The 26,832-nt window shown below is 43.5% G+C and overlaps 1 protein-coding gene and 1 pseudogene across 22 annotated transcripts in view, besides 1 other annotated feature; both read right to left on the bottom strand.

Annotated features, from left to right (window-relative positions):
- CGNL1 (cingulin like 1) overlaps positions 1 to 26,832 on the bottom strand; it is a 174,213-nt gene that overhangs the window by 36,790 nt on the left and 110,591 nt on the right. The window lies entirely within an intron of this gene.
- Positions 16,502 to 17,344: an enhancer, noted in NCBI's record as "H3K4me1 hESC enhancer chr15:57788782-57789624 (GRCh37/hg19 assembly coordinates)". NCBI's record gives its function as "activates a minimal SCP1, AML or CMV promoter by ChIP-STARR-seq in naive H9 embryonic stem cells {active_cell/tissue: H9 hESC(naive)}" and the evidence as "EXISTENCE:reporter gene assay evidence [ECO:0000049][PMID:30033119]".
- On the bottom strand, positions 18,376 to 25,616 carry RIDAP3 (RIDA pseudogene 3; annotated as a pseudogene).

Raw genomic sequence — 26,832 nt, 5'->3', positions numbered from 1 at the left:
CTACTTTGGAAAACAGTTTGCCAGTTCCTCAAAATGTTACACAGAGTTACGGTAGGACCTAGCAATTTCACTCCTTGCTATATAGCTAAGAGAAATAAAAACAAGGGACCGGGCACAGTGACTCAAGCCTGTAATCCCAGCACTTTGGGAGGCCGAGGCGGGCAGATCACCTGAGGTCAGGAGTTTGAGACCAGCCTGGCCAACATGGTGAAACCGCATCTTTACTAAAAATACAAAAAATTAGCCAGGCATGGTAGCAGGTGCCTGTAATCCCAGCTACTCAGGAGGCTGAGGCAGGAGAATCGCTTGAACCCAGGAGGCAGAGGTTGCAGTGAGCCAAGATCACACCATTGCACTCCAGGCTGGGCGACAAGAGTGAGACTCCATCTCAAAAAAAAGAAAAAACATATATTCACAGAAAAACTTGTACATGAATGTTTATAGCAGCATTATTCACAGTATCCAATAAGTGCAAGCAATCTACATGTCCATCAAACAGTGAATGGGTAAACAAAATGTGGCATATCCATAGAATGGAATATTATTTGGCCATTCAAAGGAATGAAATACTGACACACACCACAACATGGATGAACTTTGAACATATTATCCTAAAGAAGCCAATCACACAAACACACACACACACACACACACACACACACACACACACACACCCATATTGACATTTATATGAAAGTCTGGAATAGCAAATCTACGGAGACAGAAAATAGATTAGTGATTGCCCTGGGCTGCTACAGGGAGGTACAGGGAGGGATATGGGGAAGGGGCCAGGAGTGACTGCTAATGGCGATGGAATTTCTTTTTAGGGGTTAGGAAAATGTTCTAACATTGACTGTGGTGATGGTTGTACAACTGTGTGAATACTAAAACCACTGAACTGTACAATTTCAATAGTTGAATTATATGAATTATATGCTATATGAATTATATCTTAATACAGCTGTTTAAAAAAAAAAAGGGTAAACAAAAGTTACAGGAAACCTGGGGCTGGAGTAGGGATGGTGGAGAGAGATGATGCATTTACCCCCGTGGTCTGGAGGTTTGCTGAGGTGTTAGAGAGGGGAAGAAGAGGCTCAAGACCATCTGCCCAAAGCTTTCAGTAAAGCAAAGAACACTTAGATGTGTGGTCAGCACCCTTTCATTCACCCGGAAATCTCAGGAAGAATGAGGATACTGAAAACCAGACCTGATTTAACCTGGATTGGGGCCTAACTAGCACCCTAGCGTGTTAGATAAGGGAACCTGGACTGAATTGTGATGTTTAGAACTTGGCATGCAAGTTCTTCACTCAGCTTATGGCTGGCAGGGATTTATTCCAATCTTAACTTTCAGTGGCATGGGCTGAGTATGACTCTAGGAGACCTTGTGTGTATTGAGACACTTAGTCCTTTTTTGATTATTTGTAAAGCGATACTATGTTTTTCTCTATGTCTTCACATTATGCTTACAAATAATTTAACATGAGCCTATGTTAGCAAATCTTCCCAAAAGTCCTCTCCCATTTTCATGCCCCCACACCCCCACATGGCCAGCTCACCTTTTATATAAAGCCCATAGAACAAACTTTCCTTTCCTGAAACCATACCTAATTCACTTGCAGTAGTAATGGAATCAAAAATAAAAATAAAAATCCTAACCTTTTGTTCAAGGCAAGTACTACATGTAAGTTCTTCTCCATGACCTCCCAGTGAAGAAAAGAAACATGGCAGAGAGGACCTTCAAAGTTCTCCCAACTCTGAAGTGATCTGATGCTTGGATCTATGTATCATCTTTCCAGATGAGACTTTGTGTCTCATGGATGTGGCAAAGGCAGCAGAACTGCACCAAGACAGAGCTGGTAAAGAGCAACTCAAGTGGAAGTTCCCTGGGGACAAGTACTGCTAAAGTCATTGAAGTTGCTGGCATTATGTTTCTACGATTCTCTGATCCCAAGTCCTATATGTTATAACAATATTAGAGAGGAAGCACCATCATAAATAAAACCAAAAAGCACACAGTTTTTAATAATTCATTTGTCCGTATCTTACCACCTACGTGATGTCTTGTTTTAAAAGAATTACATGGATTTGCATTTCAATATTTTAGCTATTACTCACTTGTACAGGTAGTCGATTCCTCTGCCACTCCAAAAAGTTGAAAACACCGCACCAGATTCATCACCACAAAGGCAAAAGTAACAACTGTGCCATTTTCTATCATTTTTCAAGATTGGATCATCACTAAAAATTACACCAAGGTTATTTTTTCAGCTATGAGGCAGCCACATCAAAAGGTTTGATAACACAGTATGTGTAATGTGAGGAAACGTATTCTCATCGATTGCTGGTGGGGCTAGAAACTGGTACGAGGCTCCTGGATGGCAATTTGGTAGTATCCATCAAAATTACAATGTACATTTCTTTTGACCCAGAAACTTATCGTCTATCATTTTATCCCATATGTGTGCAAAATGACATATAAATGAGATTATTCACTGCAGTACCTTAATAGCAAAAGATTGCACACTACTAAAGGCCAATTAGGTACTAGTTAAATAAATTACATCAGGTCAATAGTATCTTGTGCATCTGGGAGAAAAAAAGAACAAGAAAGTGAGGAAGAAGCATGGGACAGATTAGTAGATATAGCATGCTTCTGTGTGTATAAAAAGAAGGTAAGAGGGATAAAGATGTTTTTAGTTGGCTACATGAGAAACTGGTAACAATGACTGACTATGAGGCAGGAAACTGGGGCTATGTGGAAAACAGCAGAAGGAAGTTTTCAATTGCAAACCCTCTGGCAATTTTTAAATTTTGAACCATGGAAATTCAACATGTATTACCATTTTTAAAAATAAATATACATTTTCTTTTAAAAGACTGACCATCAATGGTCACAGGAACTCAGAAAACAACCCACGTCCTCGGCCAAGTTCTCACCTCCTCCAGCCTCTGGAAACCCTTCCTTTGTCTTTTCATGGGTACCTCTGGGCCGTGAAAGATAGCGGAGCCGGAGCCCCAGGAGCAGCTGTACAAACAGAGCATAGCGCCAACTCTCCCACGCCAGTTTACATAGTTAAGCAATTCCTTTTCACCACATATAGCTGGGAGAGTGGAAAAGGCCCAGATGGCCCAGGACTTGCAACTACACGAGTGCTTCCCCAACTTTTCCACTCCAGAAACCCTAAGGCAGAGAAGTCCAGTGTGGGGTGATGAGAGACATCCAAGGGACTGCGAAGAACTGCTTTCAAGGCTTGGGTTTTTCCATTATAAATGAATGTAAATTTTTCATTCAACACCATAGCATGTTTCATTCTACTATGTCTCTTTTTATATTAAGGATACTGTGTTCTTGGTATTCCAGGAAGTGGTGTCACTTTTCCCCTGTGACTTTGCCAAGCACTCTCCTCCTTGCCCACCCGGCACACAGACACATGTCCCATCCTAACACAGACATAAATCACCTCCAGAATGGAATTCTCATTTATACTTCTAAAAATGCTTCTCTGTCTGTTTAGAGGAAACAGCAAAGGCTCTGAAGTCAGCCAGATCAGATCCAAACCCAGGCTGTGCCTCTTGCTGGGCCTTCCACTGGACCTGGCCTCACAGAGCCTTAGTTTCCTATCTGAAGAAGGGGGATGAAGTTGCCCACCTAGTACATTATTGTAAATATCTAGTTAAATGGGATTACAGCTCTCGTCATAGCCCTTGTTATTACTGTTAGGTCCACTAAACTCACATCTGCTTCCCAAAAGGGAAGGACTTCACACAGCTTACCGGCTGTGGTTCCAAATCGTCACACTTGGCTTCAGGCCACTACCTGCACATTTTTTACCAGCTAAAAAAATCAAGCCTAGACTTCTCAAAACAGAGAATTGAGATCTTCTAATAGTCCTTCCAGGGCGACTACACTGCACAAAGAAGATGACACCCATCTTATTTCAAGGGTAAGTCAGGTTTCTTGGTTGGCTAATTTATTAAAATCTTAGCCCCATTTCCCAGTCAAGGGTGGTGTGGTAAACCGATGGCATCTAAGAAAAACATTCTTCTAAAACAGCCAAACAGCATGCTTCAACATGCTGAACTGCAAAATTTCCATTACTTTAAAAATAGTTGACTTTTAGCCATATGCTCCAATTACCAATTTTAAAAGAAGGAAAAAAGAAATATAACAATTGTATCACACATATGCAAGAAAGTGAAATCCCACTCTTTGCCATCAAGCCATTCATTGCAAATAATCACCTGCCTGCAGGCTGGCACATTTTCCACATGTTCATGGGTTAACACCCACATTTAGAAGTGTTCACACTGGCCCCTGGAGAAACAAGAGATGAGTACCAAACCCCCCATGGCACCATAAATGGCCCCATTTGCATGTTCTGCCTGACTCAGGAAGCTGAGGAGCGCTCCTTGTAGGAACACGGACCCGACACCTTGGACAGGCTCGCTCCTGATGGACAACAAGTAACCACATAGGCCAAGAGCCTCCTGCTTGTCCTAGTGCCGACCCAGTACACAGACATATCAGGTTTTACTAATTAACACGGCCTCTGCCACAGCCGGCTTTTGTTTCCTTTCTGTCTCTCTTTTTTGCTGAATGAGTGAAAACAGCTGAGGCGTGGAGGCCGGGACATCCAGAGAATGGAATGTTGGTGTCAGTTCCATCTCGCTGGCCACCCCCACGCTCCAGTGTGTTGGGGCTGCAGGATCCCAGCTGAGAGGTACTAGAAGCATCCCCTAGGTCAGCTCATCTGCTGGGAAATTACTGTCTTCTCACCATCATGTCTGTGGACGTCTGCTTTCACTTGCACAATAGGGCCCGGGTCACAATAATGCGTCCCTTCCTCACTCTGAAGTGTTAGGAAAGCAAGTCCCCCATATTGTGTCTTCAGCTTCCCCCTCACCTGAGCAAAGGTCAACTATTCAGGTACAGAAACAGCATATATTTTAGTCTTAACTAGCACACTTCATCCCTTCTCCCAATCATTTGTTAATTTCCCTGGCATAAGGTCTCTAATCTTGGGCTTCTCAAATTTTAATGAATTACCTAGAGATCTCATTAAAACGCTCATTCTGACTCAGGAAGTCTGGAGTGGGACCCAGGACTCTGCATTTCTAACAAGCTCCCAGGTGATGCCAATGATGCAGGTCTGTGGATACCCCTTCGAGTAGTGAGGTCTAGGCTGATTGGACCCTTCTCAGCTCTCAGGGCCTTTCTGCAGAGATTTGAGCTGAGCTCCTAACTGGTCAAATCCTTTATGCTTCTTGGTAGGATTCTCAGTGCCTGGGATTTGGCGTTAGGCCGCTTGTGCGCTACTGCAGGCTTTGCAGCCAGCTCACATTGCAACCTTCCTTCTGCAAGCTCTTGCCCCCTCTGAGTTCAATTCACATCCTTAAAGAAGGTATAATCAGTAATACCTAAACAGATCAGAAAATCAAAAAAGAGATACAAATCTTTAAAAAGTTGAAATTATTTTAGTAATGTAAAGTGATGGGTTCCTTCCTTCCTCCTTTTTGATTTGCCTACTTACCATTTCTTGGGCAAGATGGGGTTGAGCCATTGCAAAATATTTTTAAATCCCATGCTCCAAGAAGAACATCAGAATTTCCAAATTTTCTCTCACTGTATTTACCAAAATTGCCAACACCAATCTCTCCCAACACATCTACAGTTCAGAACTCAGTTGGTTATACAGTGATAAGCTCTTTTTGTTTGTGTGTGTGTGGGGCGGGGGGAGGGTGGAGGGGCACAAATAAATAGTGCATGGGAGAGATGGAAATAAATGTGGCAAAGGAAGTGGCAAAGAAGTAGAGGGTATTCATCACCCAGGTACCAAATATTTCCAAGGAAGAGTTGATTCCAATGCCAAAAATCATACAGATCAATATTCAATTTCTTTTTGTTAAAAGATGTGAATTCTAGACCAGATCCCGCTAACAATTCATGTATGATGACGACAGACAAATCATTTAACTTCTATCTGCCTTCACTTTCTCCCCTCTGCAACACAAAAGGGTCAGTCTATCTTGTTTCAATGTCCTGGCCAGCTCTAACAGTCTGGGATTCTAGAATGAACTTGAAGAAGTCAGGCAGCATTAGGTAGTCCTGGAATTCAGTGAGCTAAGATGACTAGAGGTTCTACTCCTACTGCCTCATGTTTACATTTTATTTTCAAATGCTGCCATTTAAACCAGATCATCTGTAACAATGTCCCTGCCACAGCATCCAGAGGTGAGGGCCATTCTCTCCTTATGGTCATTAACCTGCCGTACTTGTAGAGTTTACATATACCTTGCTTAATGAAGATTTTATTTACATCCTGTATTTCTGTTGCCCTGGTGGCAATTTTCTTGCTTATAGAACCACCTAAAAGATACTCCCTTTTAATCATATTCAATTACCCAGTTTTTCCTATGGCAACTCAGTGATTACATAGGTTAAAAATGTCTCTGGTTTTCTTCATAATGTCCTTAGGAAATAAGTCAACATGCTTCCCTTTAAAAAAACTAGTTAAGATTCACTCTCAGAGTGGCCTGTAATTAAAATATAGGTCCAAGACAAAAGTTACGACAATAAAATCCTCATATTTGCTCACAGAATGCATTTGACACACAATAAACCTACAGAGATACTCAACAAGGAAATAAAAATCCTTCTGACCACAACACACTGCAACTAAATAGATGTAGAGCAGTTAAGTGATTTGATTTTTCCGAAACACAACATGCTCCATAGTTCAGGTCTTGACATATGGTATGATTCTGTTTATACAAAATGTCCAGAATAGGCAAATCCATACAGACAGAAAGTAGACTAGTGGTTGACAAAGGATGAGGGAAAGGGGGAATTCAGATGAAAGGGGCTTCATTTAGGGTGATGAAAATGTTCTAGAATTAGATAGCGATGGTGGCTACCCAAATTGTGAATATATAAAAAACCACTGAACTGCACACTGTAAAATGCTTAAAATGAATTTTGTGTTATATGAATGTTATCTTAATAAAAACAAAAGAAAACAAAAAGAGTGCAGGCCTTGGAGTCAGCAGACCTGAATTGGTCCTGCTTGTTCTTCTCGAAACTTCAGTTTTCTCATTATTCTAAAAATGAATTGAGACATTATGCAAAGCACCTAGCAATGTTTCAGACACATAGTAAGACCTCAGTCAATGACCACAATACATTAAGGTTGGGTAGACAACAGTCACACACCCAGGACTTGAACCCGGTTCTCTGACTCCTTGCTTGTGACCTCTGCTAGTTGCTACCAGTTTCTTCCAAGTGGGGGCAGCAGCTTGAGGGAAAATTCCCCAGAGCCAGCCAGGGAAGGGAAAAGGAGGCCCCGAACCTGCCAGCTGGGGGCTTCAGCTACATCCACACACTCACCAAGACTGCATTTCAGGGGCTTCTATGAAACACAGCCTTAGGCCTTCCATTGTGCCTTTGCTTTGTTTTTTTAACACCATTCCTTAGAAAAATTCTTACAAAATGTTCCCCAGTTTCCAGGAGATAAAAGGAGCCTCACATCATATTTATAAGACACCACTTCCCTCACCATGAGAGCCACAGTCTAAGCTAACCTTGTGACCAGCATGTAAAAGTTCTGTTTATAGAACCCAACATGCCCCTGCAGTGCCGTTCGCCTTCAAGGAGCTGCTGGCTGGCGGAAGGGACTCCACCCAGACAATGCCCTGCTTCCAGCGCTCTGCGTCACTAGGAAAATATTGGGGGGTGGGAACCGGGTAAATGCAAGCGTTAGACTCCCAGTTAGAGTCGCTGTCACAGACAGACCACATGGCTTTACAAATGATTACAAATCAGCTTGCTGTCAGCACACACATGTCCAACAGGTTCAACAGGATTTTTGAAGAAAGAAGATAAACAAGCAGCCAAAGGCTCAATCTGGAAGCTCACAGGCCTACTCCAGTCCACAGTTCTGCCCTGCACCCCTGCCCGGAAGTCTTGTTATTTGTGAAAACGGATCCTTCAACTTTCCCATTTTGCTACCATATATCCATAAATGCTGAAAGGGTCTCTCCTGAATTATAAAAATCATGCCATTTTCAGAACTTAAATACAAATGCTGAGGCCAAGAACTTTCAATCCAATGGATGCTTCTCATTAGTGCTTCCTTGCAGCCCCAAACAAGACCAAATTTCCGTATAGAAAGCTGTCAACTTTTCCGTTTGCCCCACACTTCCATGGCCACAGGAGCGATGCTAAGCAGGGACTGGAGAAAGAAAAGGACATGGTCTCGGTAGGCAAGAGCCTGGGCCAAGACTGCTACAAGCGTTTAGGCTGACTCTGGTACCCACAGGGTTAAGACACCTGACAAGAGTGACCTTTATTATTTCCTCCTTTAAAGTAGTAGGCTGTTCCCTGAGACAGAGCTGAGCAGACCAGGCTCCTACAAAGCCCAGAGTGCCCTGGTTCCTCCTTGCAAGGCCAGGCTACCTGGGTCAATAGCCAGCTCTAACTGACTGGCAAGGGGAATGGGGCCAGAATAGAAACGTCCTGATCCTGGTATAGTCACCTGACCACTGTGAGGTTTTGTGCAAGTAACAACTTCTCTAAATCACAGCTCAGCTTTCTTAAAAACAGGGTGGCGTTACGGATCCATTCACTGCACGGATCAAGAAAAATGAAAGATAATGGTGTGAAATGTCAAAGGATGAGTCGCTATATACACAGCAAACAGTGTCCAGGAAGGAATTACTGTGTACCACCCAGAAGTTACAGAGCATAAATCACAGATTTCCTTCTATACAGAGGCCTTGAAGGAGGTGTGGTGACTTTTTGGCCCCCGTCCTCTTAGAGCAATTGTTTCCCAGCCATGCTGTTGGCAAGACTCTCACTCGGTCCCTCCTTTTCTGATGGAGAATAAAATGCCACCCCCTCCCTCAAAAGAGCTGGGACAGACAGAGTGGGAGGGATGGAGTAACCAAGTCTAATCCAAGACCTTCCCCAGGACTGCTCTAGGGCCAGCCCTCATCTGTTTTAAAAAGGAACCATCTTGGGGTGCTGACCAAACAGGCCCCATGAATCACTGTGAGGGTCATTAGTGCTGTTCACCTAATATTTCCAGTTCTTCTCTCCTCCAGGCACATGCAATGTGCTTCCCTGCCCCCTTGAAGTCAGGAGTGGCCATGTGATTAGCTTTGGCCAAGGAAATGCAAGAAGTGGCAGGTGACATGTCCAGGTACAAGCTCCAAGAGCCCATTAATGATCTACCATATCCTCCTCCTACCCCACTGCAGAGATCACCAACACCTGGGTCCCCCGGGGACTCAGGAACAAAGCAACCAACTCCAACCCTGCCATGACTGGATGTGAAGCATGAGCAAGAAATAAGCTTTTCTTCGTTAAGCTACAGAGCTTTGGAGGCTGTTTATTACTGCAACATCATCTAGCCTATCACATCACGTAAAGACCTACTATTATACTTGCAGATCCAGCCCACCTGGCTCACATCCATTAAAAACAAAATCTGGAGTTCATCACAAGCTTCATTCCCAAGGACAAGTGGGGCTGTAACAAGGAAAGAGCCTGGGCTCCCAGAGTCAGATAGACTTGAGTTTAAATCCTGGCTCAGCCGCCCATCAACCATGCAACTCTGAGCCCGTCAACTACCTTTTACTGAGCTGTAATCTCCTCCACTTTGAAAGGGCAATGATAGTACCTGACATACAGGGTGGTGGTGAGGATGAAATGTAATGTGTGTAAAGTACATAGCATGTGGCCAGGCGTGCACTGTGCACTGAGTAGACAGGAGTGATTCTGCTAACCCTCATCATCATTATCATCATCATCACCCTGCTTTCATCAATGATCAGCAGTGAACCCGGAGGCTCTGTTTCCTGCTCTGTAAACTGGAAGAGCAATGCCATGCCACTCCCAGCGTACTCAGCACAATGCCACGCAGGGCACAGGGGGCAGCTGCTCAATAACCGTGAATACCCATACCACCCTGATATGATTTGGCTGTGTCCCCACCAAATCTCAATTTGAATTGTATCTCCCAGAATCCCCACGTGTTGTGGGAGGGACCCAGGGGAAGGTAATTGAATCATGGGGGCCAGTCTTTCCCATCCTAGTCTCATGATAGTGAACAAGTCTCACGAGATCTGATGGGTTTATTAGAGGTTTCCGCTTCTGTATCTTCCTCATTTTCTCTTGCTGCCGCCCCATGTAAAATGTGCCTTTTGCCTCCTGCCATAATTCTGAGGCCTCCCCAGCCATGTGGAACTCTAAGTCCAACTAAACCTCTTTTTCTTCCCAGCTTCAGGTATGTCTTAATCAGCAGCATGAAAATGGATTAATAACACACCCCTTCCACTCCAAGCCTTTAGCCAGCCTGCCCTGAGCGAGCCCTGGAACACCGCAGGCTGATGAAGCTGCAACACCTGCCCCACACACAAGGGGGCCCAGTCCTCAACTGGTCCACTCTGAGCTTCAGGTTGCCCTCCAGGACCTATCTGATGAGAGTCCCACTCCCTCCACCCCTAGCCAGGTCACCTGCTGTCATTTACTGGACCACAAGCACTGCATCTGGCAGGGTACTCTGACCTTGGGGACCCCAGCCTGACCCCTAAGATACCCACATCAACCCAGGTGACTCGTGATTTTGAGAAGCCCTCTTGGGTATGAGTCACAGAGACTTGGCCCATCCCTGGGGCCACCTCATCAGGAGTAGGAGGAAGGCCCCTGCCAAGGCTCCTACTGACCTAACTATTGAGGATCTGGAGAGCCTGGCAGCCCCCGCCTGGCCCTGGCTTTGACAATTAATGGTGTTACAGCGAGGCTCTGCAGAGTAATAGACTTCACATCTAGGAAAATCTGCCATGTGCCACAAAATCCCTAGTCACACGCTAAAAGCATCCCACATGGTGCGTCCTTAGGCGGTAGCTTAATGAAATGCTATGCCTGGTACTGACATATTCCAACTGCACTGGGACCTCTGAAAGTGGACTAAATAGAAGGAACACTGGAGGCTGAGCAGGAGTGGGTGTCTTGGTCCCAGGGCAGCCCCTGGGTCGGTCTGTGACCTGAGGCAGTCACAACTTCTCCGAGCCTCATTTCCATGACTATAAAATGTCAGAGAAGAGAATCCAATTAAGGATTGAAGTATCCACCATTGATTATCTACAGTCACTGAATATACAACTTGAACAAGGTACAGTGCCATTTTTAAAGAGTTTAAAGTCCCAGAGAAAGTTCAACATGTTCATAAGTGAAATCTAAATAATCACTGCCTGAAGACAGGCTCATGAGCACACTGGTCTGAGGTCTCTAAGGTCATAGCCATCTCTGCAATTATCTGCATGGCAGATAAAGGTTATTTCCTCTCTCTGACCTACCAAAGTTTCCATTTCTCCAGATAAATTAAAACAGGCCTGTATTTCATTCATCTTACCCATTCATAAAGTCACAGAACATCAGCATTATTTAAGACACCAACTTTCTCAGGTTGAAACCCTAATTTGAATTTCTAACACTTCCTTCCACCTTCCCCCATATCTGTGGAAGATAAGCAGCCATTCAGCCTCTGCCCCGGGAGCTGGAAACACACTGCCTCTCAAAACAAGCCTTTCCATTTTCCCACAGCTCTCAGGCATGGAAACTCCTCCTTCACACTGAGCTGATGTCTGCATTCCTACAATATCACTGAGACCAACTGAGGATGGTTTAGTGTGTCCTTCCTCCAAACGAGAGCCTTCCAAAAACTTAAAACCCACCCTCATACCATCCTGTCTTTCTTTTCCTCTTAGGCTAAACTGTCCAAGGTCCTTCCTCACTCACTGGCAGGTTGTACTAAGTCTTCTCTCAAAGCATGGGGGCCAAAATCAAAACAACGCTCCCTGCAAGTTGGGCCTATCAGCATCCTGATTACCAACTGCTCTAGGCTCCTGAACATTCTCCCAGAGAACAGAATAGTCAGACCCCACACAGAGGCTAGAGATAAAACCTGGGGCTTGAACTAAAGACTACCAACCAAAGGAAGTCCCCACCACCTCTAGACACACAGACACCCATGGGACCCTTCCCAGAACTTCCCCCCTGTGAGTGCCGCTGCAGGATCCACGGTGGCAGTCAGGGCACTGCTGCTGGGGTCCCACTGCTGCTTCCATCTCTTCCTTAGCTGCCAGTCCCTTTCCTCTTTCCTCCCCATCTAGGGGCCTCCAATAACCCTCTGGCTCCTGTGCAGCTCTCGGATGGCTCCTAGAGGTCACCTCTTGCCCCAACCCCATCCCTTTTGCTGGCAAATTGTACCTTGACTTCTGGGGGAAAATCAGACAACACCCTTTTCCCTTACCCTCCTCCTGCTCCCCACTTCTTCTCTCCCTCTATGGCCAACACCCCGTCTCCACCTCTCAGCCCATCCCATGCCAGGCTATGCCTGGGGAACTGGACAATAAGCCTAACTCCCCACATTGCCGCAGGTAAGTTGCTGGTTGCACCCCCTGAGGACAGGGCTCTCTGCCTAGGCAGGCATCACTAGATTTTCTGAGTGCTCAGTCTATGCCAGACACCAGCTATGTGCTTTCCATGAGTCATCTCACTGAATTCTCTTCGGCTTCCCGCTGAGGGAGGCACTGCTATTAACTGTTATAATCCTTTGCTTCTAAGTGAGGAAACTGAGGTACTGAGAGGTAAGTCACTTGCTTAGGGGCTCATAGGTATAAGCAGCAGAGCCAGGAGCCAACCCAGGCAGCCAGAGTTGAGAGCCCACAGGCTGAAAACCACACCAGGAGCCCTTCTGGGCAGGGCCTCCATCCCACTCTGTGCCCAGCCCAGCACCTGGTACATAGCACAATCACGATCCAAGGTTACTGAATTAATCAGCTTGATAGAGGTTTTTATGTGTCTAGGTATTTAATACCCTGTGATACTCCCCAAGCATACACACGCATTCTCCCACCACACATGTATTCTATACTTTATAGTTAATACACACTATTTTAGCAGTGTCATGGGCTAAATCAACTATTGTTAGCTGGCCTGAGAACCTAGCCTCAATTCATAACAATGTCTCTGTGAGAAAATTCCTTCAACTTCCAAACACCTCACATAAAAATAAAATGTTAGCGCCCTCTGTTCCTAAAATAAGCATTCAGTTAGCCGATTCATTCATTCATAGGATGCTGTCTACCTTTGCATTGCTAAAAAGTCTGTCCTGGCTAAAGTCGGCCTCACTTTGTTACATCTTTGCCTCAGAAAAGATGCCTGAATTTCAGAGGAATGGGTGAACTGAACGCTCCACGCTTTTTTTTCCCAAAGTCTTCATTCTCAATCCACATTTTTCACAAAACTGATAGTTCTCTGGGAGCACAGGCTCTTGCTGACCCTGATAAATGATTGCCCTAATTAACAATGTTCAGTTCCCCGAGATGGCTGGAATTCCAGCTCAGGAGGGGCCTGACGTTCGTTCTAGCCTCTCATTTTCCAGATGAGCAAACTGGGGCCTGGAGAGGTTAAGTGGCCTGTTCAAAGTCACACAGGGACATCTCAGCCGTGGCGGGAAGTTGATGGCCTTGATGCCAACTTAACCTCCTCCTCGGGCTTCATCTATTAACGTAAGTAATTCCTCTCCCACTCCCTGACAATGGCAGCACCATTCCCAACACACGGCCTCTCTGCCAGTGCTGCACAGGAACCCACGGGCCGCAAGGGTCTCCTTATGCTTATCTGGCCTCAGAAAAACACAGAAGAGCCTCTCTTGTTTTCAGCTGTTGACAGTGGCCACCCACCAAAGGAAAAGGGTATGAAGGAAAACATCTCACACTTCCTTCTCAACCCCAAAGATTCACTCCCCATTCCCACTCCCCACACCCAGGTTCTCATCCAGTCACTGCTAGAAAGCAAGGCTGCCCAACTCCAATACACACCTCACCACCCAACCCATTTACCAGGTATCTTCCAGAATGACCTAGCCAAGATGGTACTTCCACCATGACACAGCTCAGAGCCCAGAACGACTCCCAACACACAACAAAATGCATCCAAACTCCCCTCAGCCTGGCCTCCAAAACCTTCCTAAATTGAATTCAGTCTACCTATTCCATCTGATCTGCCCAAGGCTTCAATTCAAACCCTGTGTCAAACACATTCCTCTTTGTACTGGGTCAGGCCCATTCCCAATTACAGACCTTGGTATAATATCTACAACTATCTGTGGAAAGTACCCAAAAAAGAATCAATTATGTAATGCAGTATTTCCCCAGAAGTATGCTATGGAATGAAATATTGTGGAAGATTCTTTGAAAAAAGATTTGCGGCCCGGTCACACTGTGGAAAATTCTTGTGGTCGAGTCCTTTCTCAGAGAATCACAATTTACATTAACCCACATATTAAAGACTCTGAGAAGTTACATAATAAGAAAAGCCATGTAGGCCAGGTACGGTGGCTCACGCCTGTAATCCCAGCACTTTGGGAGGCCAAGACAGGCAGATCACTTGAGGTCAGGAGTTTCAGACCAGCTTGGCCAATATGGTGAAACCCCGCCTCTACTAAAAATACAAAAATTAGCCAGGTGTGGTGGCACAAGCATGTAATCCCAGCTACTCAAGGCAGGAGAATCACTTGAACCTGGAAGCCAGAGGTTGCAGTGAGCCAAGATCACACCACTGCATTACAGCCTGGGTGACACAGTGAGACTCCGTCTCCAAAAAAAAAAAAAAAAAAAAAAAAGCCATTAACTTTATTTCATGAGTTCCCAAGTTTATCTCAGTTCTTTCTTCCTTTCTCCACCTCTACCACTGCCATGCGACTCCAAGCTGCCAACGTTTCCTTCCTGGGCAACAGCAAGACCCTCCAAGCTGGTCTACCCACATCCCCTCTTCTGCCCTTTCCAATCCATCCCCACACACTGGGGCAGGAGAAATTATTTTGAATCCCAAATCAGATCATGTCACCCTCCACCAAATGCTTCAGTGGCCTTCTTGCGCTCTTAAGGATAAACGCAAAAATAAAAAACAAATCTCCTTAATTCAGTCCCCAATGTCTGTATCATCTACGTACCCTTCCAGCCCCATCTCACACCACACTCCTCCTCCTCACCCACCCCATCCTTCTACTGGCTTTTAAAAAAAAGTTCCTCCTGGACCATACTTCCTCCCACCCCAGGGCCTCTGCGTGTCTGCCTGAAGACTCTGCCTCCTCTCTACCAATCCTCACCTCCTCAAGGAAATGGTCCCTGACCACACAAATGAGGTCAAATCCTAGCCCCTCTCCTCCATAAGCCTTGTCATGGGTGCGATTTTTATTTACTTGTATGATTTTTTTCTTATGTTTTCTGTAAACGTTTTAGGATAGACAGCATGCATCCATTTTTGCTCATAGGCTTAATACAGTGTCTGGCCACAAGTAAATACTCAAAAAAAGAAAAAACAAACAAACAAAAAACAAATAAACAAACAAAAACAGGTTGGGCACAGGGGCTCATACCTGTAATCCCAGCACTTTGGGAGGCCAAGGTGGATGGATCACTTAAGCCCAGGGGTTTGAGACCAGCCTGGGCAACATGGCAAAACCTTGTCATTACAAAAGCTCCTTGAGAGGCTGAGGTGGGAGAATCGCTTGAGCCCGGGAGATTGAGGCTGCAGTGAGCCATGATCAAGCTACTGCACTCCAGCCTGGGCAACAGGGTGAGACCCTGGTCTCCAAAAAAAAAAAAAAAAAAAACTGTTTCCCCAATCAACCTAAGTATGAGCAACTGATGTGAAAAAACAAAGCACAACACAAGACTATATATTCTATAGTGGAGACAAGAACCCAATGCTATGAAGAGGAGGTGAGGGAGCCTTAACTCTATTTGGGTGAGACGGGTAAAGCTGCAGAGTGCTTGGTGCCACACACAGAGGGAAGGGAAAGGCAGTGCAGATGGAAAAAAAACAGCACATGCCACAGTGTGGTACCTGTGGACGGGCTGCTTTCTGCTCAATTCTGTTTTCCATCTAGACCATCCCCACCTCTGATCCTCAAGTGTACAGAGAATGTCTTTCACACTCTTCTCAGCGTGACACTGAGGGCACCAGGAAAATGGAAGTGCCCACTAATGTGAGAAAGAAATGCCTCCCTATACAACAGCTGGGCTTCTTCCCTGCAGGACTCCTACAGGCCGCCGCCCGTGTGTGCATGGGTGCAAGCCCGCATCTCTGCTGCACAGCATACATGCTCAGCTCCTGTGGCCTGAGCTGAAGCCACCATTTCCAGATTCCGCAGGGCCTGCCCCTCTGCCTGGCCCACCCACACCCTCCATTCCTGTGGAACTGCTGCATTTCTGGAAACTGTAGCCCTCTCTTTCACCTCATTCTGTGGTAAGCAGCTAGCTCCAATAATTTTCCTATTTATGTTAAATAAGAAGCAGAGAGTGAAGAGGTTCAGGCCACTCAAGACCCTTGTCTGCAGACTTTTACTTTGCAGGATCAAAGTTGAAGCATGAGAATGTGTCTTTATTCTTTTTCCCCTGCTGAGGCCAAGAGACACATGCCAGACGCTTCTCCTGGAGTGTGCTGTCACAACAGGAACCCTGCCACCACCCGCCCCACCCTGCTCCCCCTACCTGCCCCCAGTTCCCACTCCAATCTAACGAGGCCTGTTCTTTGTTCCACAAAACAAACAGTGAGTTCCGCCTGTCAGGGCAGACAAGGTGCACACACACAGGAGCAAACAAAGAGGCCCTCTTGCCAAAGGCCTTCTTTCCTGTTGGACCAACGCTGTCACTGGTGCCCTTTGTTTGAAGTCACCAGATGCACCAGGCACTTACAGAGACCTGCCAGAAGATCCCTGGGCCTGCACCAGCTGGGATATCAGTCCCCAGCCATCCCCATACCGCCAAACACAGCAGGATGTGGGGCCTCGGGGGCGTCAGACTCCCATTCCTGGGGTCTGCTGCTCTGTTTGGATTGCTGAAGTGCTGCTTCCACACAACGTGGATGCAACTGCCATCCTTCTCAGCATTGCCGGACTCAGCAACCACAGAGCTGTTGCTGTGCCTGGCCCCTGGCTCTTCTCCCCTCTCTGAGTCTATCAGCACCCATCTGTTGGTGGCCAGACACTGTGCTACCAAGTCTTGAATGTATGGGCTCATTTCACCCTCACTGTGCTCTGTGTGCTGGGCTCTGTAATTATCCTGATTTTATTGATTAGGAAACAGGGGCTCCAACCAGTGAGGTGTCCTGACTCAAGGCACACAGCCAGGATTCCATGTGAGTCTGACTCCAGGGCTCATGCTTTCATCCTCTACAATATACCACCTACCACCCCAACTACTAGCGAAAGGCCACCAACCTCTTTCTTGATCATTCCTTTACAAGACAGACTTGGAATGGAGTAAAGCAGCAGTCCCCAACCTTTTTGGCACCAGGGACCAGTTTCGGGGAAGACAATTTTTCCATGGATCGGCGGAGGTTGAGGGGAGGGATGGTTTCAGGACTAAACCATTCCATCTGAGATCATCAGGCATTAGTTACTACAGATTCTCATAACGAGAATGCAACCTAGATCCCTCGCATGCACAGTTAACAATAGGGTTTGTGTTCCTGGTCCCTAACAGGTCACAGACCTATACCAGTCCATGGCCTGAGGGCTGGGGACCCCTAGAGTAGAAGGCAGGGCTCAACCCAAATATCAGGTCAAGCACAACTCTTGATCTTCTCAATAGGTAATTCTGTTAAAAATTACCATGATTTTCTGAGAAACAGTCACGTTTTGGTTTTAAGGCCCTACAAGTAAGGAACTAAGGCTGTTTGGAGGGTTTTGTTTTGTTTTTAATGTATTTGTCGCCTTGGTAAGCCTGTCTAAGTGAGCTTTAGAATAACCCTGAGAACATTTTCCCAGGAAACACACACTTCCCTCCTCCTGTCTTTCACTCATTTATCTTATCTTGGAGTTCATGAGGCTCCATTCCACAGTCATTCCTGGTTATCAGTTTTGCTTTTACAAACAGCATTTATCTGGATTGCCAAGACATTCTTGGCCTTCTGGAAATATGCTTTCATTTTTTTTTGTCAATTAGTTGCTTTATGTGCTTCCAAAGTTATGTTTTCACATGAAAATAGATGTCTTCCCAATTCCCTTGGCCTTCACTTGGTATTAACAAAATTTACAATGGCACTGGGACCTAATGCTTTATTAAAGTCTATCTACATCAGGGAAAATAGGGCTGGTCACACTCCAAGTCATGTGAAACACCTCCCAAGACAATGTGGATTCATTTAACACCCTTACTTGGTGCTTATAAGTGCCTCCCCAAAATCATTCATCAGTGCTCTCATATGTAGAGCTTGAAAACAGTAGAGTGGCTATACCTTTGTATTTTCCTAGACGGAGAGTCCCTAGGGCTGATTATTTACTGTCATCCTTTCTTTCTCTCCTTAATGGTGTTCCTAGGTCAAAGGGGCAAACAAAGGCTGTTTTTGAATCATTGCAGGTATAAAACCAGAAATTCACATTTTACGAGACATTTGATTTTAAAGAAACAAGCTGGTAATAACCATGAGGAATACTTGACACAGAAGGGAGGCCTTCCCACAAGACAGCTCAATGCCACCTCGAGGTCTCAGAGCTGGCAGAGGTTCCAGAGTCACTGCATCTTACAATCCACCAAGATGCTGGTAATGAGACCAACACCAACTGGAAGGCATGGTGGTAAATGAGCTGACTGAGAAAGCAAAAAGGATACTGATGATACCATGCAAATGAGTTGCTGACAGCTGGTTTCTAAGTTACACGTGAAAACTATTTCAGAGATTTCACAGGAAATGCTTCCTGTAAAAGCTACAGGAAGCATCATGGTTTAAGGACCCACAGGGTATAGCCAAGTTATATGAACTGATCCTCTACCCTATAAAGCCCCCAGAAGGATGTAAAGAAAGATTTTTAAAAGACCTTCATTCAAGCCATTTCCAGTAGAGGTGATGAAAACAATCTTCACGGTTCCTGTCATACAAGGAATGAGTGATAAATCCCTAAGACAGGAGCAATGAGAAAGCTACTGCATGCAGAGAAGAGGAGCTACCTTCTGGCTTTACAGTTAGAATTATACATGAAGCACATGGAGACATTTAGAGGGATGGCAAACACGCCAGTGTCTGAGCTCATGCCTAGACACTCGAGTTTCCAGGGAACACCCTTGGCCAAAATCTGCTGGATGAGATGCCAGCTGAACACTGTGCACCATTGCAAGTGGCTAGAGTTCAGGAATGAACAGAAAGCCATAATCCAGTTGTTCTGGGATGGAAAATGTAATGCACACCAGTTTGCAATTAGTCTGAAATGAAGAATCGGGACCATTTAGCCCCAAACAGAAAGAACAGAAAGTTCATGGGATTGGGCCGATTCCCAAAACAAAATCCATCCCTCCTCCTGCTTTTACATTTTCTACTTCTATTTTTAATGGCTTAATCACATATGAGTAGTTTATTATAAGTTGCTCATAAATGAAGGGTGTTAAATGCTGAATCCAGGTGCAGAGGAGAAAAAAGGAACAAAGAAAAAGGGTGGTGGCAGAGGTGGACTCTTTCACAGCCTGGATTTCAACAGAACCACAGGAGGGTCCTAGAGACATGTAGAAGAGAACGAGAACTCCACCTCTGTACTTCCATCATAAACAAAGCTTCTTGGCCTCCATTTCAGAATACAGATCCTTCTCAACCCCTCCCCACTCACACACTATCCAGTTAGAAATATTCATTTGATGGCTATACCTTGAGAATAGTAAGTCACTAGTTGAACCTATAAATGTAAAACTTTTTAAATGGCAAGAACACAGGCATATAAAAATGACGGTCTTTGGAGCCTACATCCCTTGCTTTGCAGATTTATTTTTTAAGTGATTTTCAGGTTCATACCCCAATCAGTGTTTTCAAATCTCTCTCTTAGCACTTATTGTCCATCTCATTCTTCTAGGTACTGGGGGTTACACATGTGGTACATGAATCCATCCCTCATCTACACATATTTAGGAGAGATGCCTGGTTCTCTTGGGGATCTGGACTATGTCTTGCTTATCTTCTTAGCTCCAGTACCTGGACCAATGTCATATATACAATTGGAGCTCCATAACTACTTTTTATTTGTTGAAAACCTCTGATTGTGGAAAGTAACTATGCACCTATTATAACCATAGCAGATGGAAAGAACAGCATCGAATCTGAGAATATGCAATCTCACTAAATCCACTAAATGGTACTTCAAAGGTTTCTAAAACTTGATAGCATGTTTCCTTATACACATGAGTGTATCTGTGCTGCTGCCAGGGAGTGGAGCTTACGATCATCCAGAAGTCCTACTAACTCATGCGTCTTCATTCTATAGTTAATCCCCAAAACGGAAAGAAAAAGAAACAGCAGATATCATGTATCTCTTTTCAGTTTAATCAAGTTGATTTTTAATCCCTTGTTTCTGACCATTGAGATCATTGTGAATCTTGGTTCTGCCATATTGTACTTGGGCTGTCTCTGCCTGCTTTGGGTCACGTACAGTCTTGATAAGCATGCTTTCTGTGTCTTTATGTCATGAAAAACAAGTTAACATGACAGGACCAAGAGTCCTGTCATCCATCACTAGAAAGCTCCTTCCAAAATCTGTCTGTGGCCCAAATCTCCTTGCCTAGTAACCCTGTCAAAAGAAGAGAGCACAAGTGGAGTAATTCTGAATGACTGCAGACTTGTAAGGATCATCTTCTTCAGCTCTTACTTAAATTTTAATATCTTCAAAAGAAAGGCAAGAGGATCAATATGATTCAACTTTACCAGCATTAACTTCACTGCAAATTTGAAATCATAAACTCACTATCTAAAGTACTAATATTGGTCTAATGTATTTATTATGTTCTTTATCTTATTAACTCCTGGTATCAAACCAGACCTCAGAATCATACTCATACACTCACATTTAGCAGCTAGACTCGTCCCCTTATCCCACGTGCAGAAGGACAGATGTTATCTCATACTTCACAGTAAGGAAGTAAAATCTGGAAATAAAATGCCCATACCTGATGACGTATTCAAGACTCTGGGACAATTATTGTTTCTTCTTCAGTGATGTGTGGGCCTGAGGCATGTAGAGATGACAGTGTGCATGCCTGGATCTCAGCATCTACCTCCTCTCTCTGCTCATGGGTCCCCAGGTCCCCAGGCTAGCAAGGAAACTTGGGTATAACTTCCAGCATTATATGTCAAGAGAAGCTTTAATTCCCCTGAGGAAATGTTTTGGGTTTTTTTTTTCCTTATGGACAACAAAAGTCATGAAGTTGATCGTGTTTCCTTTTTCACTTTGCCAGAAGTCTCAGGACTACATCTCTAATTCACCTTCAAGATTATTGGACTACACAGCTGGGTTCTATTTGTCCTCACTATCCCCAGAATTGATTCTATTTACATTTATATTTCCTATGATCTTTTAGAAATATCTTTTTTATTTTACTCTATGTGCTTTTGTAAGTATTCTCAGATTCAACCTATGAAAAATGTCAATGTATAAACAAAGTTGCAAATCTATTGCTCACAAAGTTTCCTTGCAAATGAGAACCTAGCACTCCTTAATCTGTACACTGTTATTAGGTAGGATTGGAGTGTAATCCTGAAATGTGTGTGATGCCTCTGAGGAAATGAATCAAGTTAGGCCCACCTCATCTTTTGAATGTCAATTTCTAGGATCAATGAACTGATCAGATCCTCTAACCTCCCTTAAGATGTGCCTCCTATTGCCAGGTCTCCAGGTTCTGCCTTCACCAGAGTGAGAAACCTAAGGCTTTAGTTGATAAATCAAGTGTATGCCTCCAGATAAGTCATCATACCTGAGGATTTCAAAGACTAAAAGCCTTAAATGAAGTAATAAAGTCTCTGACTGGAAATATCTGGAAGTGAGCTTTCCTTAGTTTTTACCTAACGTCCTTTTCCAGCTCTTGATCCCATTCAGGATACCACATTACATTCAGTCATCATTGCTCCTCAGGCTCCTCTTGGCTGTGACAGCTCCTCAGACTTTCCCTGGTTTTGATGACCGTAACAGTTTCAGGAGTTACATATACTGGGCCAGGTATGTTTGCAGGAAGGAGGAGGAGGAGGGGAGTTGGTCCCAGTACTATTTGCATCTTTCTTGGGATGAACATATTTTTAAAGCACTTTTCTGACACATTCTCATTGCAAAACTTATGCTGTTCTCTAAAGTAGAGAGAGTAGGCATTTCTTTCTCTTCCTAAATTATTTGGAACTCTTCTATAACGGAGATTCATCTGTTCTTCCTACATCATGGGCATCATTATCCCGTTACTATTCTGCCTCTTAGCTACAATGTGAGCATCTTCGAGTACAGGGACTCAAAGCAAAAAGTGGTACATGTAGTGGATTCAGGAAACATATGTTCTAGGGCTCATTCTTTCATTGTATCAGCTAACAAACATGTGAGTGCGTCTTGTGTGCCAGAAGCTGTGCATAAAGATGAATGAAGAGCTCACAGCCTTGCAGGGCAGACAAGAGAGGAAGTTAACTGCAGTGCCAGTGGCAGAACAGAGATGCAACTGGTGCCACGGAGAAAGCAGTGGCACTGTGGGAAGGAGGCTGCTTGAGGATGACTTCACAGAAGAGGCACCAAACTGGGTGTTAGAATATTCCCCCAGGTAGGTTTTTCTAAACGAAAAATTATCTATAGAAAAGCTTTAGATTATAGAAAAACTGCTAAAATAATACAAAATTCCCTTTCATCCCACACTCGGCTTCCCCTGTTACTGCATCTTACACGAACATGGTACATGTGTCATAATGAATGAACTAATCCTGATCTATTATTATTAACCAAAGTCCATACTTTATTCAGCTTTCCTTAGTTTTTACCTAACATCCTTTTCTGACTCTTGATCCCACTCAGGATACTCCATCACATTCGGTCATCATAGCTCCTCAGGCTCCTCTTGGCTGTGACGGCTCCTCAGACTCCCTGGTTTTGATGACTGTAACAGTTTGAGGAGTACTGCGCAAGGTATATTTGCAGGATGTTCCTCAATTGGAATTTGTCTGATGTTTGGGGTAGAAAGACCATGAAGGTAAAGTGTCATTTTCAGCATATCATATCAAGGGTAGATACTATCAATGTGATTGATGCTGAAATTGATCACGTGGCTGACGTAATGTTTATCAGGTTTCTCTACTGACTCCCCAGTCCACCAGAAAAAGTGACTCTTTTCTCCCCCACTTCATCCTGTACACTCTGGAAGGAATTCACTATGTGCAGCCCAACTTCAAGAATGGGGTGTGAGCCCCTACCTACTTGAAGGCAATATATCTAAATAAATTATTTGGAACTCTTCCAGAAGGTAGAGTCCTCTATTATTCCCCATTTATGTATTCATTTACTTGTTACATCAGTGTGAACACCATGAGCATTTATTTTATTTTGGGGTCATAATCCAATACTACCTTATTTTGTGACTTTGGCCACCGGCAGCTTCTGTATTTCGTTCCTGTGTCCCTGTGCCATACCTCATCAATGTGAGTGCACACGCACGCGTGCGTGCGTGTGTGTGTGTGTTTGGAGCACTTCCTTACTTTCTGGCACTGCTAGGTAGGTTTTTATAATGTGGTTTCTAAACATCAAAGCCTGCCCACGTTAACATCATCTTCAAATGCATCAACGTCATAGAACTTTAATGCCAGAGAGAGCCAGAGGTCATAAATCCAGTATCCCCATTTAATATAAGATAAAGCAAGGTTGGAGCAGTTGCCTGAGGTTACACAGCTTTTTAATAGCAGAGTAACACAGCCACTATGAGAATTCCTGATTTTTATTGCTTATTTTCATTTTTTTTCACTATTTCAAGTAACTACTGTTGTCCATGTGTAAAAGTCCAGTCTACAGTAGAGAAATTGTGTCTGTCACGAAATCTCTCCAGGTGACCAAGTTACCATCAGTAAGGCTGCACACAAAGCAGGGTTGAAAATATGCTTCCCCAACCTCCAGACATCCAGAGAAAACGCTACTGTTTTTATTTTTCTAGTAACAGCTTAATTTTCCTCACAATCTCTCTAATTTCTCTCACAACCTCTCATCTACCTACAATGGCAGTAATCCTAACTTGAACTTAATAGTTAGTAGTATCTCAGTCACTTCTGGTCTAAACAGTCTCTTTTGAGCAGATGCTTTAATATCCAAGCTTCAGCACCAAAACTAATGTCTGGGAAACCACTTGAATGGTAGGGAGCCTGGAAAATAAAACTTAAGAGGAACAGAATAGTGCTAAGACAATTCAATGAGGCAAGAATCGTCTCTTCAACCAACAGTGATGGGACAACTAATATCTACATGCAAAAGAATAAAATAGACTCCTACCTCATACTATGTTCAAAATTTAATTCAAAATGAGTCATAGACTTAAATGTAAGAGCTAAAACTATTAAATTCTTAGAAAAAGAGTAAAGCTTAAATCTGCATGTCTATTTTCTATCCATTAGAAAAATATTATCTATATAAAGTTTTGGTCCATTTTCTATTTCTTTACCCCTACCATTCAAATTTAAATATTTTAATTTTAAACTAGTAAAAGCAGAATTACCAGAATCACATACCTGACATGATAACTAAATATATGACATCACTCAATTTATTGGAATTAGGTATGCTCTTGATTATTTCTCAGGAACAACAACTCATCTTTCCTACATGTTATTTCCCTGTTATTTGAGTAACTATGTAATGAGTATCTCTTTCCTACATTCAGTGATATGGGTGTGCATAAGTGTAATTTGTAACATCAGTAACTGGATTCACCATCTAACCTTCAATTCATGTTTAATTCTATTATATAGTATTTCCATAACTTTGGATACTTTAGTCAAACTTACACTTTTCATCAATTATAAAAATCAAGATGTTAATTAAGATGTTATATCAACTGTGACAATGAAGACGTTAAAAATTCCGGACTAGACAGCACTGGGCCCACTTATAGACAGGCTGTTGTGAGAGGTCCTTGAACAGCTACTGCTTCAATTTCAACCTGGCCTCCTTTGGGTAAAGCAGCAACATGGTAAGCAGCTCTAGTAGAAAAACCACTCTTAAAATACTGTTTGTAGATTACATTGACAGCCCGGAAGTCATTTGTGTCAGCTAGCCAAACAGTTGTTTTTGCCACATTAGTGAAGTCACAGCCTGCAGCTTTCAAAATATCACCCATGTTCTTAAGGGCCTGTTTAGCTTCTTCTGTTACCCACTCTTGGCACAAGCTGTGCACTCGAAAGGTTCATGCCTAGCTCTCCTGAAATGTAAAGGATCCCGTCAACTAATGCAGCTTGACTGAAGGGACCAGTGTACCCTTGGGCTTTCTCAGTGTTGATCACCTTTATGATCAAGGATGACATGGCTAAGTCTTCTCTCTTGCACCCCCTTCAGTAGAAGCAGTCCCTACACCAGTTCTGCTCACTTCTCACTCGACTGCAGAAGAAGAGAAGGTCTTCATGACCTTGGATGAGGAAATGGTTTCTTAGATACAACACAAGTACCAACAGAAAAAAGAGTAAACTGGACATCATGAAAATTAAAAATCTTTGCGCTTCAAAGGATAGCATTTAAAAAGTGAAAAGACAATCTGAAGAAGGGGAGAAAATTTTGCAAATTAAATATGTACTAAGAGACTGATATCCAGAATATATAAAGAACCATTACAACTCAGTAATAAAAAGACAACCCAATTTTAAAATAGGCAGAGAATCTGAACAGATAGCTCTCCAAAGAAGACATACAAACGGCCAATAAGCACATGAAAAGATACTTGATATCATTAGTTATCAGAGAAATGCAAATCAAAGCCACGATGAAATACCATTTCACACCCACGAAGATGGCTATCATAAAAAAGGCAGATAATAACAAGTGTGGGAGAGGATGTGGAGAAATGAAGACCCTCAGGCATTACTAGGGGAATGAGAAATGGTTCTGTCACTTTGGAAAACATTTTGGGAATTCCTCAGTTATTTTATGACCCAGCAACTCTACTCCCAGGTATACACGCCAAAGAAATGAAAACGTCCGTCCATGCAAAACCTTGTACCCTCTGTATACTCGAAAACTATATCCAGAGACTGTAGAATATTGGTGACTCTCTTTGAGAGAGGTAATCTAAAGGTTTTTTTCTCCCCACTTAGCCTATCTGGCAGCATTTGAACTTTTACAGCAACTCTGTTTCTCAGATCTGTACATTAAGAGAAGTAAAAAACCAGTAAAGGCAAAGTTCTCAATAACAGCACAATCTACAAAGCTAGCAACTCATCACAATTCTAATCACTTGGTTCTGTATAAATATCTGCCTCAACATGGATCTTTTTAAAATATAAAATAACCTGAACAAAAGGAAAATCTGAGTATATAGATTCATTTGGTAACAACCAATGACACTTATATTATTACCAATATCAGAGAATGCCAACCCTTAAGAATTCCTCAAAATGCTTTTGAGAAAAATATGTATCCTAACCCAGTATGTCAGTACTGGCCAAATGGTCCCACTAAGTATCACTTTTGCCCAGAAAAACAGCAATAAACCAATCCTCCTCTTTTACCTTTTTTTGACTCTGTATACCTGAAAATAAGTAATGTTGGCTGAAGTCAAAATAAGCTTTAAAAAAAAAGTTGAATAAGCTCAAGAAAAGAAAGAAAAAGTTGTTCTTTGCAACTCATTTACCATCTTGGAAAAACCCATCTCCCAAGGAGAAGTACTCTTGTTCTTCATAATATGAATTTGCAAATATTCATCTCTTCCCTCCATCAAAATGCACACATACAATAAACTGTCTACTCCTAGTCTTTCTAGTTGCTGGGCAATTAGAGTTTAGTGTGGT

The sequence above is a fragment of the Homo sapiens genome, chromosome 15 (assembly GCF_000001405.40).
Source record: "Homo sapiens chromosome 15, GRCh38.p14 Primary Assembly".
Classification (NCBI taxonomy): domain Eukaryota; kingdom Metazoa; phylum Chordata; class Mammalia; order Primates; family Hominidae; genus Homo; species Homo sapiens.
The sequence above is the reverse complement of the archived record's forward strand: the minus strand, read 5'-3'. Positions and strand labels throughout refer to the sequence as shown.